At 37.5% G+C, this 27587-nt stretch overlaps 2 protein-coding genes across 4 annotated transcripts in view; both read right to left on the bottom strand.

The window, feature by feature from the left end:
* The window catches only part of TBCEL-TECTA (TBCEL-TECTA readthrough), a 167389-nt gene that overhangs the window by 94307 nt on the left and 45495 nt on the right, over positions 1–27587 (bottom strand). The window lies entirely within an intron of this gene.
* TBCEL (tubulin folding cofactor E like) overlaps positions 6408–27587 on the bottom strand; it is a 66675-nt gene continuing 45495 nt past the window's right edge. For all 3 annotated transcript variants that reach the window (NM_001363644.2, NM_152715.5, NM_001130047.3), the window contains one exon: positions 6408–10406. In NM_001363644.2, the coding sequence (NP_001350573.1) occupies positions 10088–10406 (319 nt within the window). In that variant the 3' untranslated portion in view covers positions 6408–10087. The remainder of the gene's footprint in view (positions 10407–27587) is intronic.

Here is a 27587-nt window from a genome sequence, read left to right as displayed (position 1 = left end):
ACCATAGACTGAGGGAAGGAGAATGCCTAGATATTTTGAGGACTGTTATAGAAGGAGTTTGAGTTAATAATGACACCCAAAGACCCTGTTAAAGTGGGAACACATAGGGCTCAGGGAATAAAAGGAATCCTAGAAAAGCTTACAGTAGGTTTACAGGGTCTGCAGACCCCCTGGATGTTATTTTCCCAGTCCCAAGATATTACAATAAAATTAAGCTCAAATCAAAGATTCACCTAGAGAAGGATTCTGTTTGTCCAGCCTTTATTAAGGTTTTAGTCCAGTAGTGAACCTAAATGTCTTGAAGCAAAATCGTTGGCTCTGTTTTAATAAACTGCTAGAGGCATACTAATTGCTTTCTTTTTCCATGCACTCTAGGATATTTATATCTCAGCCTTTTTGACCCACATTTGATGCTCCATCCTTCTCGAGGCAAGACTGCTGCTGGTATAAATGCCGTCTGGGCATAACCAGATACACAAGATGGCGGCATACATGAATTAGAATGTCTTTGAGAATCTGGCTGTGAGAGAACATCAGGTGTGGGGAGAGAACAAACTGACTTATCATTTGTTGGATTGGGAAGCTTGTCGGTGAGTGTGTATAATTGGGATTGATGTATTAATACTTGGCACATTGGGTCTTTAGCCTATAGAGTAACAACTATCATAGTAAGGAAGGCAAGTGGAAATCTCTGACACTCCCTGCCCCTACTCTGGCTAAAGTAGTAATATAAACGAATATTGCATCCTGGGCTGTGGGGAGAATGGTAAACATTAGTGTCACTCTTAAAGAAAAGGGGTGGTGGACTCTACCATATCTTTATTGAACTGGCCAGGATGGATCCTAGAGAATGGCTATGGACCACTCCAAGTTCAACCAAGTGGTAGTACGAATCACAGCTGCTGTGCTTCAGATACGTGATATGTGGCCATTCACTTCACAAATGCATTTTGTTTTCCTGTTTGAATCAGGTATGAGGGTCAAAAATAGTTCACATCTTATGGAACAGACAGCAATATATATACATACATAGAAATATATATGTATGTATATTTCTAGCTTAGCCCCAGGGCTATAAGTCTCCCACCTTCTTTCATATTATAATGCAAAGAGATCTGAGCCATCTGGGTACTACAGAACATCACCTTGATTCACTGCATTGACAACATCAACAGACTGGGCACCATGGGCAAGAGATGGCCAGCAGGCTAGATGCCTTGGTAACACACAGGTGCTCCAGAAGGTGGAAGATAAATCCTACAAAGATTCAGGGATGCTATTTCAGTAAAGTTGTAAGGAATCCAGTGGCCAGGAACATGCTGGGACAACTCCTCCAAAGGAAAAGGCAAATTGCTGCATCTTGTAGCCTGTCTACAAAGAAATTCTTTGTTCTTTGTCAGCTTCTTCGGGTTCTGCAGGCTACATTTTCCAAACTCAGAGAAATTGCCTCAGGTGATATGAAATTAAGCCAGTTTTGTGTTGGTTTGAGAACATAAAAGAATTCCATTGCAGCTCCAGGCTACTATGCAAGCAGCTCTGCTGCTTGGGTCATGCATTCAGTAGGTCCTTTGATGTGTTTGGTGGAAAAAGATGAAATGTGGAGTTTATTGTAAACCCCAGTGGAAGAACTACCACACGGGCCCCTGGAGTTCCGGAGCAAGGTCATGCCATCTGCAGCAAAGAATTACACACCTGAAAATCAGCTCTCTCATGGGACTAGGCTGTATGATGGAATATTTGTCCAAGAGACAGTGGTCATGTATCCAGAACTTCCCATGAAGACCTAGGCCTTGTTGGACCCATCAAGTCATGAAGTCAGGTGGACCCAATCTAGCATAAGATGGAAATGACATATCTGGGACCAGTCATGAGTAAGATGCCTGAGTAGGTAGTCCAGACTCCATGTCACCTGACATAGTTGTGTCAGTAACTGCTCCCCAACCAGATCACACATATGGCTATATGTGGGAAGGTGAATATGACAAGATGAAGGAGGAGGAAGAAGCCTAAGCCTGGTGCATGGATGGACTCAATTGGTGTGTGTGTGCAAGCCTAAAGCAGACACTGGCTGGCTACATGACAGCTTCATGCGAGTGGCCTTGAAAGACAATGATAAGAGAACATCCTCTCAATGTGTGGCGCTTTGGGTGATATATCTTGTCATGCATTTTGTGTCAAAGGAGAAAGAGTTCTGCGGTTAGAATACGTACAAACTCGTAGGCAGTGGTCAGTGACGTAGCTGGCTGGACAACGGCCCAGAAAGAAAAAGATGGGAAAATCAGTGACAAAGGGGCCTGGATAGACAGATGAGGGTGGACATGAAGTGTGAAGATCTTTGTGTCATATATTATCACCCACCAGAAAACATCCACTACAAAAGACGAACTAAACAACCAAGTCAACAAAATGACTCAGCCAGTTGATGTTAAGCAGTCTTCGTCAGTGTTGGTCCAATGGGCGTGTGTATAAAGTGGCAACAGCAGCAGGGTTGGAGGTTATGCATGGGTCAAATAGCAAGCACTTCCATTTAGCAAGGCTGGTCTAGCTACCATGGTCTCTGACATGTTCAACCTGTTCAACCTGCTAATAATGGAGACCAAGGCTGAAACCCCAATATGTTACTGTTGGGGAGACCAATTGGCCATTTGGTGGCAAAATAACCACATTGGACCCCTTTCATCCTGGAAGGGTCAGCACTTCCTTTCCACAGGGATAGAGCCATATTCTGGACATGAGTATGCCTTTCTTGCCCAGGGGCCTCAGCCAGCACCATTAATGGGAGGCTTGCAGAATGCCTGATCCATAAGCATAGAATTCCATCAAAATAGCATCTGATAGGGAACCTGCTTTATAGAAAAGGAAGTGTGGGTGTGAGCCCATGGCCATGGGATTCACTGGTTGGAGTAGCGATAGTATGAGCAGACGATGCCAGCCTAGGTGAGAATTGAAGTAAATTGCTTAAGGAGTAGGTGAAGCACCACCTTGAAGACAATATTGTGCAAGGATGAGGTGCTATTCTCCAGGATACTGTGTACATAGTGAGTCGGAGACCTTTGTAGGGTGCTGTGTCCCCAGTAATAAGACTACATGGATCCAGGAACCAAGGTGTGAAGGCAGGAGTGGCCCTACTTGCCATTACTCCCAGTGTTTACTGGGGGACTTTGTGCTCCCCAACCCCTCATCTCTGGCCTAGGCAGTTTGAAGTCCTGGTTCCTCAAGAGGGTACATTCTCACCAGGGGACATGGCAAGAGTCCCGCTGAGTGATAAGCTATGGCTGTAATGCTGCCTGGACACACTGGGCTCCTTGTGTGCAAAGACTAGCAGGCAAGAACATGAACCATCATCTCATTAGGAGTAGTTGACTCTGATCAGCAGGAGGAGGCAGGGCTATTGTTATACATCGGGTTCAAGGGATAACATATGGAACTCAGGTGACCAATTTTGGTGCCTCTTGGTACTCCCTTACCCAATTAGGACTGTGATGGACAAGTGTAGCAACCCTAGTCCAAGCAGCATATTGTTACCAAGGACTCAGACTATAAGGAATTAAGGGTTGATTAAGGTTTGAGTGAAACCACCAGGTAAGCCACTGAGACCAGAGAGACAAAAGCCAAGGGGTTACAATGGACAGCAGAAGAGGGAGAGAGTGGGTACCAGTTGTCACTCTGAAATCAACTGCAGTGACAGGGGTTTTAGGCCATTTTCCTAGCCTCCCTCTTCTAAGTTTCCTCTCAGATAGAGAGGCCCACCAGAGCCCTAGAGGAGCTGCTGTTGATCATGGATGGAAAATCGGATCTACACATTGCATGGAGTGGACCGTGGCAGACACTAAGTTGCACAACTCAGATCCACCCTCAGAAAAGGGATGATTTCCAGCTACAAGGTGTACGGTTAGCCGACAGCTTCCAACTATTGGCTCCTTTAGCATCTCTATCAGTGTTCAAGCTGAGATTATGTTCTTGAAGCATTCCCAAATCAATGATTGAGAAAAGCGTTGGTAAAGGGTCCTGACCATTTCTGGCCAAGGCAGGACTTATCTAATGGAAAATCTTTGCTCCAGAGCATCCTATTGGGCTGACTGATTTAGGTCTGTAGCACGGTCTGATGGTCCATCCTGCTCAACTCTACTTCTTCCCCTGTTCCTTCACAGGTGTTACTCCCCAGCAAATTTTCTGCACTCCCAACTCCACCTTAGCATCTGCTTCCTGGACAACAGAATCTGTGACATTGGTGTCTTTGATAAATTTACAAGCCCTCTACAACTGTTTTGCTTCATTGTATGATCTACCATGGAGTCCAGATAGTTCTGTAATGCAGATGTTTCTACCACTTATCCACCGATTGAATAATGTCTAACCTCCTAGATCTAGCTCATTAAGGTGATTACATCTAAGGCTATACTTACATTCTCCCTGAAAATGGTAATGTTGTCCATAACAGGATCCTCAAAATGCATGAGGTAATGGAAAAATGAAATTTAAATTTAAAGCAAACAAAATTTTAACACAACCAAGACAGTTCCTATTGTCCTAGTTGTATTCCCTAACAATGGAATAAAGCTTACATCTGCCCTCAAATGTATCAAATATTTCAGAAAACATTTTTCTCTTTAGTCTGTATTATTTGATGTCTGCTTCCCCTAGTCTCATTCTTATTTATTTAACACCTTAATTGTGTTACTTAGGTAACTAAGAAGCATTCAAGGATGACAAGTCGGAATGATCTGATGAAATGAAATTGCATTGTCTTTTTTTTTTTAGACAGATCTAGATCTTGCAGACCATAACAGAAAAGCTGTCTCCTCTATTTTTAAAGTAATATTTATATTCTTTACAAGGCTCTCTCTTGAATTTTAAGGAGGAACAGTAGCGTGACTGCCTCATCCTTTCCAATAACAAAACCTTTGATAATGGCTCCTGGAACATTAGATTATTGTTTTTCCTCAATAAACGCCCATTTTAAGTTCACTTGGAACATTATGCCTCCTTGATAAAAGTCTGAGTTGGAACTGAGTGATCTCTCTCACCTTTGGCTATCTGCTGAAACCAGTTTTAGGGCTCTAGAATGTCCTGAGGTTAAAAAATAAATCATCAGTCTCTTTGGGTCACATTACTTGTTCATTTATTATTGTGAGTAACACCCATCCTGTGTCCAATATGGCATTTCAGAGAAGGGAGGGCAACAGGTATGTCCCAACCACAATTTCACAATTCTGGAAAACAGAGGGCAAATTCCAGTCTGGATCTAGAGCTATCAGCCACATCAGTGATTCTGTTACAGAGCCAATCAATTTAGTAAATGGATATTGAGGACATGTCATTTTAGTTTTTCCATGAAAAGGAAGACTAACAATAAAGGTGTGTGCTGGGGAACTTTAGCAGTCAGCACTACAGTACAGCTGTCAGTGCATGGGTTCTGCAACCAAACTGCTTGGGTTGGCATCCCGGTCTTGTCATTTACCAGCCATGTGACTTTTGGTATTACTTAACCTATCTGTGCATCAACTTCCTCACTAGTAAGAAAATGGAGATAAGAGTGTCGACCTCGTAGGGTTGTTGTAAAGACCAAACAGGAACTTCTTTTCCAGAGAAGAACTGAAAGAGAAATGTGACTTCAGAAGTCAACCTTCTTGTTTTAAATGCATTCTAATAACTAGAGGAAGTCACAGCATTTTCCAGTCCAATAGTAATTGGATGTCTTGATACATGTCTACTTTGCAGGAACTCAAAAGAAGCTCATACTAAATAGTAATTAAATAAAATGTAGCACAGAGGCTTAAATTACAATTCTTTGAAATTTGAATAGCAGGCAGAAATAATCTTAAACAGGTCATGATACTTATGTATTTCTGAGGCATTGAAAGAGAAGTGAATGGACTCTGTCTCTTAAATACAGATATAAAGTATAGTCCTTAGACTTTAATCCTTGGTGCAAGGTTAATTCATAATGGCTTACCAAGAAATTATTGATAAGCAAGCAGGGTTCAAATGTACAAAATTCTAATACTTATAAAAAACTATTTTTCTAAGGAAAAAAGCAGCCCCTGAATAAGAACTGGCAAATTTTAATTTCAACAAATGAGATTTTTCAATCTTACTCATAAAAGGTGATGCCAAATATCTCGAGAGGGTTTATCCTCAAAGGATAAAAAAGGAGTATAAACAGCATGTCAGAAGTATAAGATTTTGCTAACAGAAAAGCCATAACACGTTTCTTATGAATCTTTGTTTTGTAGTTTTCAACTCTGGCAAAATTCCAATTAAATTTGTCAAAATGGTCAGACTTTTACTAGTTTGGGCCAATCCTCCAGAGAACTCAACCACAGAACCAATGAACCTTTTTAGCTATATAAAAATAAACACATACCTTGACCCCACACTCCAGAAAAAAAATCAGAACACAAAGATAAAATGGACTTGAATTTTAATTTTTTTAAAGATTATCTATATATATATTAATAAAAAGTGCAAAGAATAGACCTTCATGTTTAAATTATATTCTAAATAAAATATATATATATATGTATATATATTTCCATTAACTGCGGGAGACAACTGGCAAGTAAAGAGCCTGAGAGAGTCCAGTCCCTCTCCACCACTACAATGGACATATATTTCAAGGAAGCACCTATGAAAAATAGTAGAGTGTTCACAACACATCTGGTAACACAGATAGCTTCTGGGTGTTCTTGAGAGCAGTTTGTTTGCATTTTCAATATGACATGAAATGAAGGGAAAAATCAAATTCACAAACCGAAATGACATTACTTAGAACAATCTAGTATTCTGTATTCATGTTTTACATGCCCTAGAGCCTAGCATTTTCATGTAGCAAGCTACACTCACATGTGCGTTAAGCCGCGTATCTCAAATGGTGATCAGCTCTTAGTGCAAGTGCTCTCTGCTCCTACCACTGCTGGTTGAGTAACATAGCTGGAACATCTGGTTAGAACTGAATTTTCCTGTCTTTAAAAATAAGCAAAATCTTTAAAAACAACACTGTAGCATTCAGCCCTGTTATACCTAGCTCAAGTTATATTTTGGCCTTAATATTAACTGAGAAGTCTTAATAACTAGGGGCTTATACTATCTGCTGCTTTCTTACGTATTTATGGCAATGCTGGCAAAAGGCTGCAAAAACTTGATAATAAAAAAGATATGTGACTCTGGATTTTTTCCATTAAAGCAATCTAGGATATTTCAACAATTCAAATTCAAAAATTGGTTTCTACTGTGGCTTTAGCAGCCGTTCACCCACATGTAGAAAGGATCCCTTGGTTTTGATTTGGTTTTCTTTATTACTCTTTTCCTTTTTCATAACTGGAAATAATTCCTATTTTAGAAAAGGTATGTTCTATACATTGTGTCTGTAGCAACATATCAGTAATACTGGCTATGACAGCATTTTGCCTCATAATGTCAATACTATGTTCTCACTGAATCTGGACAAAGTCAATATTAAAATACAGATAAGCTGCAGACAATCAATTAGGTATAACATGTAAACTCAAAGGTCCATGGCCTCTTCTCTCCTTCTTTTAGTTCTGTTATAAAAATAATTTTGGTTACAAGTGTCTACACAGCACCAATTTTATTTCAAAAGCAGCATCTTTTCTCAGCCACCCAAATGAATCTATAAGTACACATGCTCAAATAGCCTTTTTCATTAACTTCTGTTCTGTAACTCAGACCAGTAATTGTATTACATTTTTCTCTTAATCAAAAATTATTCAGCAATTATTAAAACCATCAATTACAATGCCCTAAAAATACCCACATCCGCTGAATTAAATGAGAAGCTCCCTTTACATGCAACTGTATAATAAAAGAATTATGTCCGCAGTTGATAAACACTGTGTTCTGTAATAACAGAAGAAACAGGTCTCTAATAGTAAAAAAGCATTTCATAAAACTTTGCCATATATAAAATATCTTATTAATTGTGACCATTCCACTTATGATTAAAGCATAACATAAGTGTTTGTTCTGCCTTCTGCTGTGGGACAGTCCAGGGTCACACAACTTCAAAAAATAAGAACGCATCTGTTTCCCAGGCTGACAAAAGCAAAGGGCTCAATTACACTTTTTCTCTCTCAAACTCATCTGCACTCATGCATACATACACAAAGCACCTACAGTTTCAATCTTCATGACACTGTTGCCATACTTTTTTCCTACTTCCAAAAATCTGTCAGGAAAATGTGTTTGCAAAATAATTATTCTTGTCTATACCCAGCCTGGATCTCCATTGCTCATTTTTATGATTTTGAAAGATAAAGTCTGCAGCAGAAGGAGAATAGGCCTTATTCGTCTTTCTCAAACCCTTTGGTTTCCACCTTTAATGTTACACTGAATGTAGATTTGACTCAGTAGGCCTGGGTCAAAGGCTTTACAGATAGCAAACCTGAAGTGCATTAAGAGAATAAACATCTGCCACATGGCACAGGAAAATTTAAAAAGTAGCATTAATAAACACAACTCCTCATACATGAAGAATTTACAAGTCACCTAAAAATTTCATAAAAAAATTAAATTTGTAGGAGGGGTAGAATTATGTAACAAAGGTCAAAAGGTCAAATGCAATCAGATAATAACTGCATTCTTTGAAAAATACTTCACTTACACACTTTCTGCCCCAGTTATGCTAAGTATCTCTCAAGTCTCCCATCTGTAAACATGGTGGACCAAGAAAAATACACATTAAAGAAAGGGATTACATCTGATTAACAAAGGAATAGAAGAACAAACAAAAAGATTTCCAAGCAGGTAAGGAACTAGCTTTTACAGAAAAGTGCTTTAAATGTGCTTCTGCAAAAAATATGACTTGGAGGCAATTGTAAAGTTTTGACACTTACACTTTACTCATAGATTGGGCAGTTATACTTCTATGAGGCAACTAAATTGAAATGTAAAACAAAAGAACTGTTCAATTATGATATCACAAAGTCCCAGGGAAAACCTGGGAATAAAATCTCCCTTTGATTAATGTTTCCCACTTTTAATGCAAAGTGCAAGAGCAAGGGCTTCCAATGGATGACACAGGTGGGAAAGTCATAAGCTCTTCCCCCACATCCCCCAACTTCATTCCCCACACACACCACAGATAGTTTATGAGCTAATTCTCAACTCTCCTGGTGCACGTATCCAGGACTCTATTGAATTATTTATGAAGTCAGGCCTCAATTCCCAATAGTTTAAAGTAATGAAAAAGAAAGATATGAGGAAATACATTCAATAAGCAAAAATAAAAGAACTCTGGAATCTGACATATTTCATGTTATGAAAGTAATGGCTGACATAATGTACAGGGACATTAAAAGTGAGTTAGTAACATACAAAGAGATCAGACTGTTCTGCCGGTGCTTCCAGAATAACTGCAAGTTTTCCTGGAGTTTTCATTCTACATCTACTCTTCGAGGTTCTAACAGAGTTATAGCTTCTTACTGCGTACCTGAGATTAGAATCAGGTTAAAAATGCTTAAAACACTTTCAATTATTTCAAAAGGGAGAAATGAGAACAAAAAAATCACCCAGGTTGAGAAATAAGAATTATGAACAGAACAAAACTATTAGGTAAACCACATGTCAAAATGAAAAAAAAATGGAACTGAACCAAAAAAGCCAAGGAGGGAGGGTAGCGGAAGGAAGAACTGGGAGAGAGAAGTTCTGGCCCTTCCTGTGAAGATTCCTTGTCACCCTGTTTAAATTCTCTATGAGACCCTTCTAAGGGGCTACAGTGTTCATGTTATCTTCACAGGTTCACCCAACAGTAATGATAACCAAGTGGCAGGCAAATCCCAGTGAACACAGTAAGAAGTCGGTGATTTCTTTGTCATCTTTCCTTAGAGAGGGCACATACACTGGAAATGTGGCCAATTCCGCTGGCTGAGCCAAATCAATCTGTGGTAGAAAACACCCAAAAATGGCCCCTACTCACTCCAGGGGGAAAAATATACAAAATCCTTCCCAAACCTAAACAGAACAAAACAAAACAAAAACAACCTCTCCCTCCTAAAGAAAACCACATTAAAAACAAATGCCCTGCAACAAGTCCTTATGTGTATGTTTTTCACAAGGCTGGTAGAGGTTATTTTGTTTTGGATTCCACGTAAATTTTATCTCCATCCCTAATGCCAAAGGAATGCAATGCCCGAGAGCTGTACTTCATTTCCTCTGGGCCAAAGGGTGCTTCATGGTCAAAATAGTAGAGAAGCATGTTGCTTGTGGGTAATTGTACTAGAGTTTTTAACTGTTTCTTTAGTTCTGCCACTGTTTGGTCCAGACGAATGCTCATTTCTTCCACCTGATCGTTAAAGTGGACTTCTACTTTTGCACTGCTCTGGGGTCTTAGGTCCACTTCTGCCAAAGGCTCCAACTTCCCATATTTAGTGATCAGTTCATGATACCTAGAAGGATTAAAAACAACACTGTCAGCTTAAACTACTAGCACATGTACTGTGGACTTCTTCCCAACTACAGATAAACAATATTACTAGGCTCAACATCTTTAAAAAATCTTATTCTATCACATGACTCCTATGGACTCTGTGATCTAATATGAGTGCCCTAGGGAGGCCACAGTAAAACTGGGGAATCATTTTTCCTGAAGATGGTCACTATGCCTACTGTTAATCAATTATTACATAAGAACAGGCTTAGGAAAAAAATGGAACCTAGAAAAGTAGACACTATAAAGACAATAGAAGTTCAATCTCTCTGTAGAACTTGCTTTCTTGGGTGTCATCATCAAGAAGGGCAGGTATCTAGGCATGTACCCCTTGGGAATAGATGGAAAGATGGAAGGAGGCCAGCAGTTTCTGAGGCCTGGAGAAGCCATAACTTATAAACAAAAACATGTAGTTCTTTGTTACTAATTAACCAAGCTCTTTCAGAGATGCCTTGTTTGAACGTTCCAATCTAATTTCAGGTGTAATACACAGAATTTATGGAAGAATTAAGAATACATTCTTGGAAAAAAGTGGTAAGTAAGGGATACATGTTTCTTGATCAAGGAAGGAATACAAAGGAAAAGATACCAAGAGGAAAGTGAATTACAGAGATGAGAATAGGGCCCACAAAGTCATGTTTCCCATAGAGAAAATCTTGTCTGCACTGCCAGCCCTGGAGGATCTAGATCTGATTTTATCAAGGACACTTACAAGTTTCCTACGTACCAGAAAGGGAAAAAATGCTGAAAAAAATTAATATTAGTTTTATTAAAACCAAGATACAACGAAGTCACTTTAATTAAGGATCAGAATACAAGTCACATAAAATTATCCCCCTACTTCCTCCACACCACTTTCAGCTTTAACTCAGTTAAAATCAGTGTCATAATAAGGTTTGTGGGTGCATTAAACATACAGTAAGACCACTGTGGCCAGGTGTGGTGGCTCACACCTAGAATCCTAGCACCTTGGGAAGCCCAAGGGGAAGAATCACTTGAGCCCAGGAGTGTGACCAGCATGGACAACATAGCAAGACCTCACCTCTTAAAAGAAAAAAGAAAAAAAAAGATTGCTGTGCTTAGAGATGGAAGTAATCATTTCCAATAAGTGGAGTAACAGGGAATATGTAAAAATAGCCCTGGCTCTGTCTTCAGGGTCTTGACTCCATTTTATAATTAGCTGTGTGACTTGGCAACTCACTGTCTTTTTGGATCTCAATTTCCTCATTAGTAAAATTAGGAATAATTTCTGCCCTTCCTACTGTATAAGACAGTCATAAGAACCAAATAAAATAACAAATGAGTAAACACTTTGTAAATTCTATGTTCATAAACAAATAAAATACTGCTGCTCTGAAGCTTATTTTAAAGCACACACAACCATTAAAAAATATAAGATTGCCAGGCACGGTGGCTCACGCCTGTAATCCCAGCACTTTGGGAGGCCATGGTGGGCAGATCACGAGGTCAGGAGTTCGAGACCAGCCTGGTCAACATGGTGAAACCCTGTCTCTACTAAAAACACAAAAAATTAGCCAGGGGTGGTGGTGCGCGCCTGTAGTCCCAGCTACTCAGGAGGCGGAGGCAGAAGAATCGCTTGAACCCGGGAGGTGGAAGTTGCAGTGAGCCGAGATTGTGCCACTGCACTCCAGCCTGGGTGACAGAGTGAGACTCCATCTTAGAAAAATAATAATAATTATTATTATAATTATATATATATGCATATTTATATATATGATTGAAATCTACTTAGGTGGGACTTCAGGATGTAAGGATTTTAGCAAAGGCAAATAAAACAAAACAAAGCAAAACAAACAAAGACAAAGCTGCCAGGACTTGAAATTTTCCAAGGCTCTAAACTGAAAAGGTAAGATGATTCAAAGTCTAGGGGTATCTTTTCCCCACCCCATATCCTAGTATATGCCTTCAAATAACTGAAACTAGGTTATGAAAATTTAACAAAATCTCAGAAAAGACAGCAGAACCCAGTGGTCAAATAAGAACTGAACCCAACTCTAGAGATGTTTTACCTTCAGACTATGGAAAAGTAAAATTGTAATACCCTAGCTCTCAAATTTTGCCTAGGAGTAACAAAAGAAACAATGTCAAAGTGGACAAAGAGAATTTACTCATACTACATTTCAACAAAGAGATGACATGAAGACAAGTGACCACTTCAAGCACAAGCAAGATAATGAGACACAAAATGGCAACTGAGCGCATATCACAGCAAAAAGAATAAAGGAGAGGAACACATAATAAGTAAAAGACAGAGGCAGAACTCAATTTGAAAGAAAACACAACTGAAGAAAAAGAAAACACTCCACAAAACTCAAAAGTCTAGAAATTAGTAAGTACTTGAATATAAAAACCAGCGCTCAAAGACAAATGATAAACTGCAGAATGAGATGAAAATGGAGACTGTAGAGCTAAAGAAACAAACTGAGGAGCAAACCACCACCACCACAGACCCAAATAAATGAATCAGAAAGAATGGCCCAAAATTATTATACCTAACCTAGTGCTTTGGTTTGAATGTGCTCCCCCTCACCAAGCTCATGTGCTGGAAACTTAATACCCAGTGCAACAGTGCTGACAGGGGGCACCTTTTAGAGGCGACTAGGTCACAAGGGCTCTGCCTTCATGAATAGATTAACGCTGTTATAGAGGGAGTCCACCCGTTATCCTGGTAAAGTGAGTTCAGCCCTCTCTTGCTCTCTTGTCATTCCTCCTTCCATCATGGGATGATACAGTAGAAAAGCCACAGCCAGATGCTGGCACCCTGATATTGGACTTTCTAGCCTGCAGAACTGAGAAATAAATGTATTTTCTTTATAAATTACCAAGTCTGTGGTATTGTTATAGCAACACAAAATGAACTAAGGCACCAAGTTTTTTTTCAGAAATAAATTTAACAAGCAGATATTCTAAAATGAGAAATAAGAAACAGAGCACCATGAGTCCTTCTGGTAAAAAACAAAAACAAAAACAAAACCCCAATACTCAACAATGAGATTAAAGAACTAGGGATAAGCCCTGAATCTAAATATAAAACTAAAACATAGTAACAACTGTATACTCCTAGACTCATTTATACTTGACATTATAGCCAATTGAATTAATCTCAACCATAAACATATTTGTACACAAAATTATGACCTACATTCAGAAATTAGCCTACCTTCCATAAATGGGCAAGTACATCTAAAAATTAAATGACCTATAAATTCAGACACTCTGAAGTCTCAGTTTTCTCAAAATCAATAGGTTCAAAAATAATTGCCACTCCCCAGCTGTGTTCTCTTCTAGTCTTTCGTATCTCAGTAAGTGGCACTGGAAACTATCTAATTATCCTAGCCAGAAAGTGAACAGTCATTCTTATTTCTTTCTCTCCTATCTCTTCTCCAATTCAATCAATTCAATCAATTACCACATTCAATCAATTACCACTTCCCACTCATTATCTTCCTACGTATCCCATCAATCTATCTGCATTTCTCTTGTTCACCCACCTCACAAATTCAGGCCACTATAATTAATAACCTAGATTGCTACAATTTTTTGTGGCTGCATAAACTAGATGAGCTTTCTCAATATCTGTTTCAACCTCCTCCTGGTAGGCCTTCCTGTACTACCAAGACTGAAAAGCTGAAAAATACATTTCCCACACTCTCTTGCCAATGAGATTTAGCTTCTATCAGTCACAGCCCTGGAGAGAGGCAGTAGATCTAGTAGATAGAGTGTGGAAACAGTTTGGGTAGAGGCTTCCAAATGACTAGATCACACAGTTCAAGCAGTCTGTTTCTAGAGTCAAGGACCCCAGCAGCAGCTTGCTGATCTCCAGATCACAGCTAAAGTGGTGTGATCAGCACCAGGGACAGCAGCTTGCTGATTTTCCCTTTCCCTGATTCCTTACAAAGGTGCGCAGTGCCCTTGGTGGGCCAGTTCCATGGTACTACTCCAGAGTCAATCCTAGAGAGGAGGCCTAAGTCTGCTCCTCCAGCCCTTCCACAGATTTTGTAAGCACTTTATTCACTGTATGAAATCCCTTTCTTCTTAAAATAGCTGATGGCTTTCCACGACCTCAGGGTGGCCCCAAGACAATCCTTGTCTTTATGATAGCCACAGGGTTTGTTATAAAGCACAAATTGTATCACATCACTCCTCTACTTAAAATCACGTAATACCCATCAAAATAAAGTCCTAACTCTTCAACATGATTGTGGTAAGCAGAATTTTGGCTCCCATATCTGGGTAGGCCTAATCTAATCATATGAGCCTTCAAAAACAGAGTTTTTCCAACTAGTAGCAAAAGAGGAAGTCAGAGAGACTCAAAGCACCAGAACCTGACACACCATTGCTGGTTTGAAGATGGCACACATGAAAAGTATAAGAAAGAAGAGAATTCTGCCACCATTCTGACTGTACCTGCAAAGAGATTCTCCTCCAGAGCCTCTGATATAGAAAACAGCCCTGCAGACACATTGATTTTGGCCTTGTGAGACCCTAAGCAGAGAACCCAGCTGAGTCACACTGTGCCCAGACTTCTGTCCCACAGGACTGTGATTATACTAAGTAGGCATTGCTTTAAGCCATTAAGTTTATAGTAATGTGTTATAGCAGCAATAGAAAACAAATACAATAAGCATAAAAAGCCCTCCATGATCTGGTTCCTTCATAACTTTTCAACCTTATTTTGTGTCATCACCATTACCATTTTCTGCACCTTCCTTTCCACTTGTTTAAATCTTAAAATCAATGTTTATTTATTAATTTATAGGTAAGGCCAGCAGACTTTTATAGATGGGTTAGGCTTTGGATGTGGGCTCTGAGAAATATTCACTATTAAATACAAAAGAAGAAAGAGTACTAGAGTTGTGATTTACTATACATACATATATATATATGTTCCCTTAAAAGTTACATAAATAAAAATCATGGTTTCAAGATAATCTGTTTTCTCCCAATTTTCTTATTTTCCACTTATCTTTAAGCAGGAAAGATTAGTAAATATAAGAAATCATGATTTTACAAAATATCCAGTAAATTTGAGAAAGCAATTCTCTCCTAGTCTTTCAGCTTATATATTTTATTCATTATGCAAAAGTCCATCCAAACTGAACTATACTGCATGCATTGCATGCCTGAGCTTTTCTTAGCATTAGTTCCAATGTCTTCCTGAAGTATACTCTGAAGAGGTAGATGGTTTCTGCTGACTAAGCATTCTCTGAAATTAATGATTTTGATTTATATTCTACCAATCAGTATCTTCATCTGACCATTAACAAGTATTTAATATTCATAAGCCCCACTTCTGAAGTGTGCAAAGTGTTATAAACCTACTTTGGAAAATATTACCGATAAGGATGTATTACAATCATCAAATGCTAAAATGTAAAGTACGCCGTATTTGTGTTCAGAAGTTCTCTGGTCCATTCCACCATGACCTTCTAACAGAAAATGGCCAATCACAAGTAAAAAAAAATTTACTACAAACAGCATAAAGGCCAGCATAACCACGTGGGCAACTGAGAGTGATAAATGGAAACCAAATGCTAGCTGCAACCTTGTGAAGAATACCACCCACAAGCAAACTGGTGTGTTTTTTCCCCCTTCTTATTAAATAAAAACACCCACTGAGAGAAAAGCTTCTTTCAACCTTAGGGGTCTTTGAATCATAAGCAGTTAGAAATCAGGCTACCAGCAGTGTGGGGTTGAAGGTGATACTAACAAAGAGGGGAACAGAGAATGAAGCCACCTGTGGTGGAACCAGGCTAGCTCTACTCCCAGTGCAAATAAGCAAGCCTTCATACACTCAGGTCCTGGTCCATGGCACACCTGTCTAATGTTACATAACAGCAGATTTTAGTAGCACGGTGGTCATTTTTAGGAGAGGTATGCCTGTTTCTCCATCTTGCCAATCCTCACTCTTGATTCCCAAGACCTGGGGGCATTTCCTCAATCACAATTCAGTCACATGTACTCCAGAATAGGAAGATGTGGTACACTATTTGAAAAAGACTACAGGTTCCTGCCATATGTCTTAGTCTGTGTTTCTATTTATTATAAAACCTAAAACAAACATTAATTTTTTCTCAGGTTTGATTAGCCTTATAAACGATCCTAACTAAATAAAACAAAGTATATATTTTACATAATTTTTAGGAAATTGTAAAATGAAACTTTGTCTAGAATCAGGGACTTTCCAATGGCGAAGGCATTCAGATTTGGACATCAAATCTCCAAATTCACAATCTTTAGGAGTATCCTAGAGAAAAATAAGGGGATTTACATTTTCTGCAGGTGGCTACGCAACAATGGGATCATAAATATCCCAGAAATACTCTATTTATCCCTTACAACTGTCTAGAGGTGTATTCATGGGTAGCTTACATAGTAGTCTCAAGTTAACAATTCTGTTAATCTATCATTCCTGAAATGCAGACACACATTGAATCAACCGAAGTCTTTACTCTAGGTAATGCTATATTACTTCCAAATAAATCCCTAATACATACATCTCTCTCTTTAAGAAATGTAACAAACAAAACATGAAAAATCCCAGATGGTTCACTTGGTTAAACCAAATCTTGAAGTTTAATTAACTAAAAGAAAAATACGGCCAGGCATGGTGGCTCACACCTGTAATCCCAGCACTTTCAGAGGTCAAGGTGGGTGGACTGCCTGAGGTCAAGAGTTTGTGACCAGTCTGGCCAACATGGTGAAACCCCGTCTCTAGTAAAAATACAAAAAAAATAGCCAGACGTGGTGGTGTGCGCCTGTAATCCCACCTACTCAGGAAGCTAAGGCAGGAGAATTGCTTGAACCGGGGAGGTGGAGGTTGCAGTGAGCCGAGATTGCACCACTGCACTCCAGCCTGGGTGACAGAGTGAGACTCCGTTTCAAAAAAAACAAAACATTTATCGAGTTTGTTTCCCAAGGCATTGGGAGGGATTCAAAAGTACATTCAAAACATCTTCTGACTGCTGTTTTCTAATGTCTCTTGCTATAGTATGCTTTCTCACTTTTGATGTGGCATCATATCCTGGGACATCAAAGAAACATTCTACAACTGGGACTTGACAACCTACTCAAGGATTTCTCAAGGTCACCAACATTCCACTTATTAAAACACATAAGCATCACATTTTATAGGTAGGAGGAATCTTAGAAACCATCTATTACATAATTTACAGATGTAAAAATTGAGACCCAGTTTGTTAACCCAAAGCCTCATAGCTAGTGAAAGGAAGGGTGGAGATTACAACTCAGGTTTTATTCTGAGACTATCTATCACTGTTTTAGTTTCATCATCTTAGTGGTTTGCTGCAATAATAAATACTGTTCTAGAAATTATTTTCTCATTCCTACATTTCAAATGTCCCCATTCAATCTCTCTTCAAGGGTTCTCATTTCTCTTATTATCACCTACACTTGGGGAGTCCTAAAAATTCACTCCTGGGCTCTCTTTTCTTTTTATGAGTTCCATCACAGAGCTCATTCTCCTACTTACCTGAAGCCATAGATGTTTCCCACTTGTCTTCCCCAAATATCTGCATTTCACCTACCTCCAGAATTATTTAATGTCACCTTTCACACATATAGCAAAGTATCTTGAAGTGAATTTAGTATTTTCCATTTAGTTTTTCAACAGAGCTTAAGTCATGGAACTACATTTGTTTCAACTATTTCTTAAATTCAAGTGCTATCAAAAATCATCTAGTAATGGATAAACAGAATGTGATCTATTCATATGATAGAATACTATACAGCAGTTAAAAGAATGATTTTAATCCACATTTATCAACATGATGCACTTTTGCTCCAAACATAGAGTAAAAATTGATAAAATGTAAAAGGCTGAAATCTAAGAAGATATAGCCAGTCTCAAAAATGATAAGCATCTCCATGGACCAGAAACTGAACAGAAATACAAATCATAGAACTAAAACTACAAGACCTCCAGGCTAGAAATCTAGAGCAGCAGAAGCAGTAAGGAGTTCAGGTCATACAAGGCAAAGGAGATGGAATGTGCTTCATGGGAGGCAGGGGAACTACAGACAGGTTCCCTGCTTGAAGTAGGGGTAGAATTGAGTGATGAGAGGCTGTGCATGAAATGAGGATGAAAAAAAGAAAACTCCTGCAGATCCACTGCCTAAGGCTACCTTTGTAGAGCAATGGTTCTAATAAGTAAAGGAATAAAAAGATAGCTCCACCACCAGGAACTGAATTAAATCACTTGGTGCTTAAGACTAGGAATATGCACTAGCTCTGTAATTACTGCAGGACAGGTTCTCCAAATTCCATTATAAGAGCTGGTTCTGGACCAGGAGTTAGGGGAGCTGCTTAGAGGCAAATGCAAAACCATTAGACAGGGAGAGACGAGCTCCAGCAGAAAGACGTAACAATCCAAAATGCATATGTATCTAAAAACAGATATGTACACAAAAAATAATGAAGCAAAAACTGGTAGAACAACAAATAAAAATAAACAAATTCACAATTATTGTTGGAGAAATCAATACTCCTCTCAGTAATTGATAAAACCGGCAGACAGAAAACTGTTAATGATATAAAAGACCTGAATAACATTAACAACTTGACCTGGTATTTATAAAACATGCCCACCAACAATATCAGAATACACATTTTTTTCTACTGCATATGAGATACTGACCAAGAAAGACCATATTCTAAACCAGAAAGGTACCTCAAATATACCACAACAGACTTTAAAAGAATTGAAATAGTAAAACGTACGTTCTCTAACTATAATGAAATTATACTGGAAATAATTAACAGAAAGATGACGAAAATCCCTGGAAAGATAAGGAAAATATCTGGAAAATAAACAACATACTTGTAAATAACCCAATGAGTCAAAGAGGAAGTCACAAGATAAATTAGAAAATATCTGAATTCAATGAAAACTAAAATATAACAAATCCCAATTACAGAATGTATTTAAAGCAGCACTTAAAGGAAAATTTATAGAATTAAATATTATAATAGAAAAGAACAGTCTCAAATCAATGATCTATGCTTAAAAAAACTATAAAAAGATGAGCAAATTAAATCCAAAGCAACAAGAAGGAAGAAATAAAGATATGAGCAGAAATCAATGAAATATAGCAAATAAAACAGAGAAAACTCATAACACCCGAAGCTGGTTCTTTAAAAAGGTTTGCAAATTTGATAAACCTCTAGCTGGACTGATTAAGAAAAGATGATGCCAATATTGGCACTATAAGAGGGAACATCACCACAGACCACATAGACATTAAAGGCTTATGATAAGCAAATACTATGAAAAACTTTATGCCCATAAATTCAACAAGCATAATTAAATGGATGAATTCCTTCAAAAATACAAACTACTAAAGCTCACTCAAGAAGAAACAGATAACTTGAATCATGCTATATGTCCATTAAATAAATTTAATTCATAGTTAAAACCTCCAGCAAAGAAAACACCAGGCTCAGATGGCTTCACTGATAAATTCTACAAAATATCTTAGAAGAAAATAACACTGTTCTACACAAACTCTTCCAGAAAAAAAGGAAAGAACACTTATAAATGAGGCCAGCACTACCCTGATATCAAAATAAGACAAAGACATTATAAGAAAATTACAGACCAATATCCCTTTATAAGCATAAACACAAAAATCCTTAACAAAATATTAGCAAATCAAATTCACCAACATATAAAAAAAGATACTACATCATAACCAAGTGGGATTTATTTTGGGAATTCAAGGCTGGTTAAAAGTGCAATTAATATAATTCACTATATTGATACATCAAGTAAGAAAAATGGTATAGACTTTTCAATAGATGCAGAAGAAGCATTTGAATAAATTCAGCACCCATTCATGAAAAGCTCCAGCAAACTTGGAATAGAAGGAAATGTCCTTAATCAAATAAAGGTCATGAACAAAAAAACCTATAGCTAACATCACTTTTAGTGGTGTAATGAATGATTTTTTCCTAAACAGGGAAAAAGGCTAGGTGTTTGCCATGACTACTCCTATTCCGATACTATATTGGAGGTCCAAGTCAGTGTAATAAGGTCCAAAAAACAACAAAAATGTAAAAAGTCATACTGGTTGGAAAAGAAGACATACACTGTGCTAAGTAACAGACAATATGACTGTCTACAATTTATTAAAAATCTACTAGAATTAATAAATAAATTTAGCAAGGCTGTAGAATACAAAGTCAATTACAAATACCAATTGTAATTCTATGCCTAGCAGTGAACAACTGAATTTGAAATTTTAAAACAGTACTACTTATAACAGGGCCAAGATACATGAAATCCTTAAATAAAATGTAGCAAAATATGTGCAGAATCCTTATGTGGAAAATACACAACACCATTTTTAAAAAAAATACTTAAATAAATGGAAAGAGATACTGGGTTCATGGACAGGAAGACTCAGTATTATTAAGATGTAAATTCTGGACAAATTATTCTATAAATTCAACACAATGCTAATCAAAATCCCAGAAGAATGTTTCACAGACTTCAACAAGCATATCCTAATATTTATATGTAAGGCAAGGAATTAGAACAGCTTAAATCATGCTGAAAAAGATCAAAGTTGGAGGACCCACACTACCTTAATTGAACAGTTACCATAAGGCTATAGTAATCAAGATGGTGTGGTACTGGCAAAAGGACACAGACATGGGTCAATAAACACAGAATACAGAAATACGGGCCACCTATATGATTAGTTTATTTCTGACAAAGGTATAAAATCAATTCAATAGAAAAAGGATAGTCTTACCAGTGAATATTGCTGGAGTAACTGGCACCCATACGCCAAAACAAAACACTTAATCCGTATCCTACCCCACACAGGAAAATGAACTGTACCATATAAGCTAGGTGTGTAGTAGACTATACTATCTAAGTTTATGTAAGTACACTTTATGATGTTCACATGACAAAATCGCCTAATGATGCATTTCTCAGAATGTATCCCTGTCATTAAGCAACACATGACTGTACTTAGGTGTAAATCTAATAAAAGATGTATAGGACTTGTACGTTGAAAATTACAAAATGCTAGTGGAAGAAATCAGAGAAGGTCTAGACAGAGAGACATACTGTATTCATGCACTGGAAGATCTCACATACTAAAAATATTAACCTTCCCCAAACTCATCTATAAGTTTAATAAAATTCCTGTCAAAACTCCAGCAAAGTTTTCTTGCAGACAGAGACTAAATTAGCCCAAAATTTATATGGAAAGGCAAAGGCCCTAAAATAGCTAAAACAGTCTTGAAGAATAAAGTGTGAGGAATCATTCAACATGATGCCTCAGCTTCTCCCAACACTAAGCTTTTCTCAACAGATTTAGGTTGAGGTTCATTTTTTTTGCCTATAGTGATCCAGTTGCTTCAGCACTGTCCATTGAAAAAGCTGTCTTTTCCCCACTGCATTGCTTTTCTACCTTTTTCAGAAATCAGGAAAGTATATTTGTTTTGGTGTATTTCTGGTTTTCTTTTCTGTTCCATTGATCTGTATGTTTGTGACCAGTATCACAATCTCTTGATTACTGTGACTATATAGTAAGCTTTAATTCATGTTGAATGAGGTCCTCCAGACACACACAATAAAGTGCACAGAACTTAAAACATACACACGCCCTTGTGTGTATGTTACAGTTCTCACACAAGTGAGTGTGTGTGTGTATGTTTTAGTTTGAGAAGTCTCAGTAAGATCACTGGACAATATCCACATTAAGATTCTGGTTGTGATACTGTACTGTGGTTCTGCAAAATTTTACAATTGAGGGAAACTAGGTGAAGGGTACACAGGATCTTGCTGTATTCTTTCTTGCAACTGCATGTGAATCTACAATTATCTCAATAAAAATTTCAATTAAAAAGAGACTACATACATGATTCCATTTATCCGACATTCTGGAAAAATCAAAACAGCAGGGACAGAAAACAGATCAGTGGTGGCCAGAGGGTAGGAGTCAGGAAGAAGGGTTGAGGAGTATGAGATTTTTTTGGATGATGGAACTGTTCTATATTCTGATTATATTGGTGGTTCTATGACTGTAGTGTTTGTCAAAATTCAGGAATGTACACTAAAAGGGGTAAAATTTATGTCACATACTTCAATCAATCTGACTTTAAACAAAGGACACTACTAAAAGATAGTCATTAGCAGGGCTGATTAAGAAAAAATGGAAAGGCAGAAATAGACATTATTATGAATAAAAAGATGAATATTGATATAGTACATTTTTAAAATCACAAAGACCCTCAACACAGATGCTATTGAAGATCTATGGTTAAATGAAAAAGAAAACATAGAGTACAGAATGTATTGTTTTGTGAACACTTGTGTACAAAAATTACGCACAAAATAGCGATGGAAACTATAACAAGAAAATAGTATCAGTGGCTGCCTAGGGGCCAAATACTTGATTAGCTACTAAGGATACAAATGGGAAGAAGACTTACTTTGTAGTATACATCCTTTTTAAAATTTCCAATCAGGTTCCATGTGGAAGTATTGCCCATCCAAATGAAAATTAAATATAACAATTCAAAAATTAAAACACCTACCCCCAAATCGTAAGTGACTATTAAATTTTAAATCTGAATGAAACAGTTACTTAGTAGAGAAAATATGAAATCACGAACTCAATTCAATTTTGAAGCTAGTACAACCTTCATAAAACCAGACAAGAACCACAAAAAATTACAGACCAATTTTACATATCAAAATAGATGGAAACATCCCAAATAACATTATAAAATTAAATTCTACATGTTTAAAAAGAAAATTTAATATTTCCCAACCAAGTTGAATATACCAGGAATGCAAAAATGGTTCAATACCTGAAAATGTATCATATTAAAATTTACAGAAGAAAATATGCTCATCTCAATGCAAAAAGAACATTCTACAAAATTCAATGTCTACTCGTAATAAAAGAAACTCTTAGAAAAATAGAGATAGAAACCACCTGAACCTATCAGAACCCTATAGCAAAAGTCAGCATTCATATCTACATATTGAAACTTTAGATGCATTCCCTGTCAAGTGAGGAGAAAGATAAAGATGACCTCTTTTACTGCGCATTTTAAATATTATACTGGAGGTCATATCCAAGAAAAAAAAGAGGTATAAAAATTATGTATAGATATGACTGTCTAAATAGAAATCCAAAAGAAAATGAAGATTAACTACTCTATATGTAAGACTGACAGACACAGGATCAGCATAAAAAAAAGACATTTCTATAGAGCAACAATAATCAATTAGAAATGATAACAGAAAAAATGATTTCACTTCAAATAGCAACAAAATGTTTAAGATACCTAAAAAGAAACTTAACAAAAATGCAAAGGCCTTTGCAAGAAAATTAGAAAACATTACTGAAGGAAATAAAAAATATTCTGAGTTAAATGAAAAAAACATTCTATGTTCACAGATAGGAATATACAATAGCATCACAATGTAAATTCTCTTCAAGTAAGTAAATAAAATTCAATGTAATCAAAATCCAAATTACAACAGGATTTTTATAGAACTTATAAGCTGATCCTAAAATTCATATAGAAGAGAAAAGGGCCTACAATAATTAATACAATCTGAAAAGCAACAACAAGGTAGGGAAACTTACTGTTATTGGGAATTAAGACTTAATATAAAGTAATTTACCAATGTTGTAATAGTACAAGGGATGGACAAATACACCAATGGAATAGAACAGGGTCCTGAAACAGAAGCATACATACAAAAAATAAGACATATGACAGATGTGGCATTGCAGATCAGTGATAAATACCAATTATCCATATGGGGCCAGATCTCTATTTGAAACTATACATAAAAAGTAATTCCAGGTAGATTTAAGTCATAAATATAAAAACACCTTTAGAAAAAAATTAGGAACTTACGTGAACTTTGGGGGAAAACAGGTTTCTTTAAAAAGATGCAATAAGAATAAACCACAGAGTTAAGGATAGACAAATCAGACATTAAAATTTTAAAGTTTTTTTCAACAAAATACGAGGTGAAAAGACCAGGTTGAAAAGCCACAATATGAGGGAAGACAGAGCAATTCATACTAATAAAGAATTATAAAATGCTACTTTATGTTTTAATGGAGATATAAAATATGAAAAATAGACATCAAGCATACAAATCAAATTTCTGCTGGTGGTTACTTCTTGGAGTAAGAAATAGGACTGAGAGTAGTAGAAAAAAGCTATTCCAATTTTATGTATAATATTATTTCTTTTTAATGAAAAATAAAGTAGAATAAAATATTAACTATCATCAGTTCTGAACAGTGTGAACAAGAATGTTTTATTACTCTCAATATTTTTTAGTATTGTTTTACTGACAAAAAGCAAACAAAAACGAAAAAGATAAAACTGGCCCCTTGCCCTGGCCAAAACAAAAGTTCAGACAGCAAAGAAAATTTCCTCCAAGCCCATGATTTGGGAGGACTGGCTCTCACTCTCTCTTTCCTTTCCAAGTATATCCAAATACTTGTATATGACTCCAATCAAGATTAGGAAGGTAGTTTGCCTTCTGCTGGGCTGGGAAAGTGGCAAGAAGTCAAAATAAAGTCCAAGGTAACTGGAATGACAAAGGCTGTAAGCAACAGGGAAAGCTAACATTTCAGAGGCTCTCCATGGTGCACGAAGGAGAATGCCCCTTTTGTTTCTCCTCAGACTCACGGCTGAATGTGAGGAGTGCTAGGAGTGCTGTGTCACGGCCCTTGTCAGAGGATGATGGAGCATGGCAATATGGAGAACCCCAGGAGACTCATGTCCAGTATAGAAATGTTCCTTCACAACAGCAGGTCCTCTGTCTGGAAGGAATATGAGGTAACGGACACAGCACACTAAGATTTCTCCAGCATCCAAGACAAAATAAGCCTTCATTGAGGTGGTGTCCAAATACAGGCTGCTGCCTGCTCTCACAATAACATGGAGATACAATCAGCTCTATTTAGAAAAGCCATTAGTCTTAAGCAGGGAAAAACATACTCTCCATATTTTAAAAAGCATACCACTAATGACAATCAAATCAGCATTTGAGGAATTCCTAATGTAATCCTTGCCATCATAAAGGATTTCCCAGGACATAGTTTAGGGATTACTTGGGACAAACAGAAAATAAGGTACCAAAGAAAAGAAAAGGCAAAGAAAAGCCTCTAAGAAAACCTGTTTCTGGCATTGCCACCGTCTCTGACAATGGTACTTCCTCTTTCCATCAAATAATTGTTCACTGGAGCTATTTTAAGACTCCTCCTTATGATAAGCAAAATTTTAAAGTCTGAAAAGGCACCCTAAATCAATGCATTTACTTCCTACCACTGCCCTCAAAAACAAAAAGAAATCATTGAGTTCCCAAAGATACATGATATGCTGACTTCTAAAAGTTGCATTTTTTTTCTCTTTAAAATTAAAGAGGATGACTGTGTATTAGGTAAGCACTAAAGAAGCAATTTAGATTCAATCTATCAGAGGAAATGGAGAGAGAAAGTAAACACAAAATGAAGGGAACACTGAAAAATACAAGCAATGTGGATAGACATCTGATCAAGGGCAAGGCAAAAATAATAAACATGTACACTTGACTATGTGCCAGACCCACAAACATGGAGGTTTCTTTCTCTCTAAATGATATTTCTATACCCTCAGAGAAATCAGGGCTATAAATACCAGACAACAAGTACAACTTCACGATGTGTTTTCTGAGGACCAGTTCAAATTCTAGAGTGAAATTCAGTCTTAATACACATAATCTCTCTAAAAAGACATAAGCAATCTCCACCACACATATCCTCCTTTACTAGTCTCAGTTTTTAAGTCTCTGGGTCTCTCTCAGCTGCTGCCTTTTTTTTTTTTTTAAATACTTTAAGGTCTAGGGTACATGTGCACAACGTGCAAACATGTGCCATGTTGGTGTGCTGCACCCATTAACTTGTCATTTATATTAGGTATTTCTCCTAATGCTATCCCTCCCCCCTCCCCGAATCCCACAACAGGCCCCCGTGTGTGATGTTCCCTGCCCTGTGTCCAAGTGTTCTGATTGTTCAATTCCCACTTATGAGTGAGAACATGCGCTGTTTGGTTTTCTGTCCTTGCGATAGTTTGCTAAGAATGATGGTTTCCAGCTTCATCCAAGTCCCTACAAAGGACATGAACTCATCCTTTTTTATGGCTGCATAGTATTCCATGGTGTATATGTGCCACATTTTCTTAATCCAGTCTATCACTGATGGACATTTGGATTGGTTCCAAGTCTTTGCTATCGTGAACAGTGCCACAATAAACATACATGTGCATGTGTCTTTATAGTAGCATGATTTATAATCCTTTGGGTATATACCCAGTAATGGGATCACTGGGTCAAATGGTATTTCTAGTTCTAGATCCTTGAGGAATCGCCACACTGTCTTCCACAATGGTTGAACTAGTTTACACTCCCACCAAGTATGGAAAAGTGTTCCTATTTCTCCACATCCTCTCCAGCACCTGTTGTTTCCTGACTTTTTAATGATCGCCATTCTAACTGGTGTGAGATGGTATCTCATTGTGGTTTTGATTTGCATTTCTCTGATGGCCAGTGATGATGAGCATTTTTTCATGTGTCTTTTGGCTGCATAAATGTCTTCTTTTGAGAAGTGTCTGTTCATATCTTTTGCCCACTTTTTGATGGGGTTGATTTTTTCTTGTAAATTTGTTCAGCTTCTTCTTCTATATACAAACCAAAATCTCTCCACTTAACTTCCCAACTTGAAACCTTTCAATGGTTTCCCACTGTCTATAAGAATAAGCCCTACTGTCCGAGCACAGCATACCAAAGTCTTTCACGGACTGCCCTGTTTCCTACCTTCCTCCCCAGCATAATATGTATCATTACTTCCCAGTTATTAACTACTTTTTTTTTTTCAGACAGTCTAGCTTTGTCGCCCAGGCTGGAGTGCAGCGGCACAATCTTGGCTCACTACAACCTCTGCCTCCCAGGTTCAAGTGATTATCCTGCCTCAGTCTCTCCAGTAGCTGAGACTACAGGCATGCACCACCACGCCTGACTAATTTTTTGTATTTTTAGTAGAAATGGGGTTTCACCATGTTGGCCAGG

This window comes from Homo sapiens, chromosome 11 (assembly GCF_000001405.40).
Source record: "Homo sapiens chromosome 11, GRCh38.p14 Primary Assembly".
Taxonomy (NCBI): Eukaryota; Metazoa; Chordata; class Mammalia; order Primates; family Hominidae; genus Homo; species Homo sapiens.
Note: the sequence above shows the minus strand (reverse complement) of the source record. Positions and strands in the feature narration are given on the sequence as shown.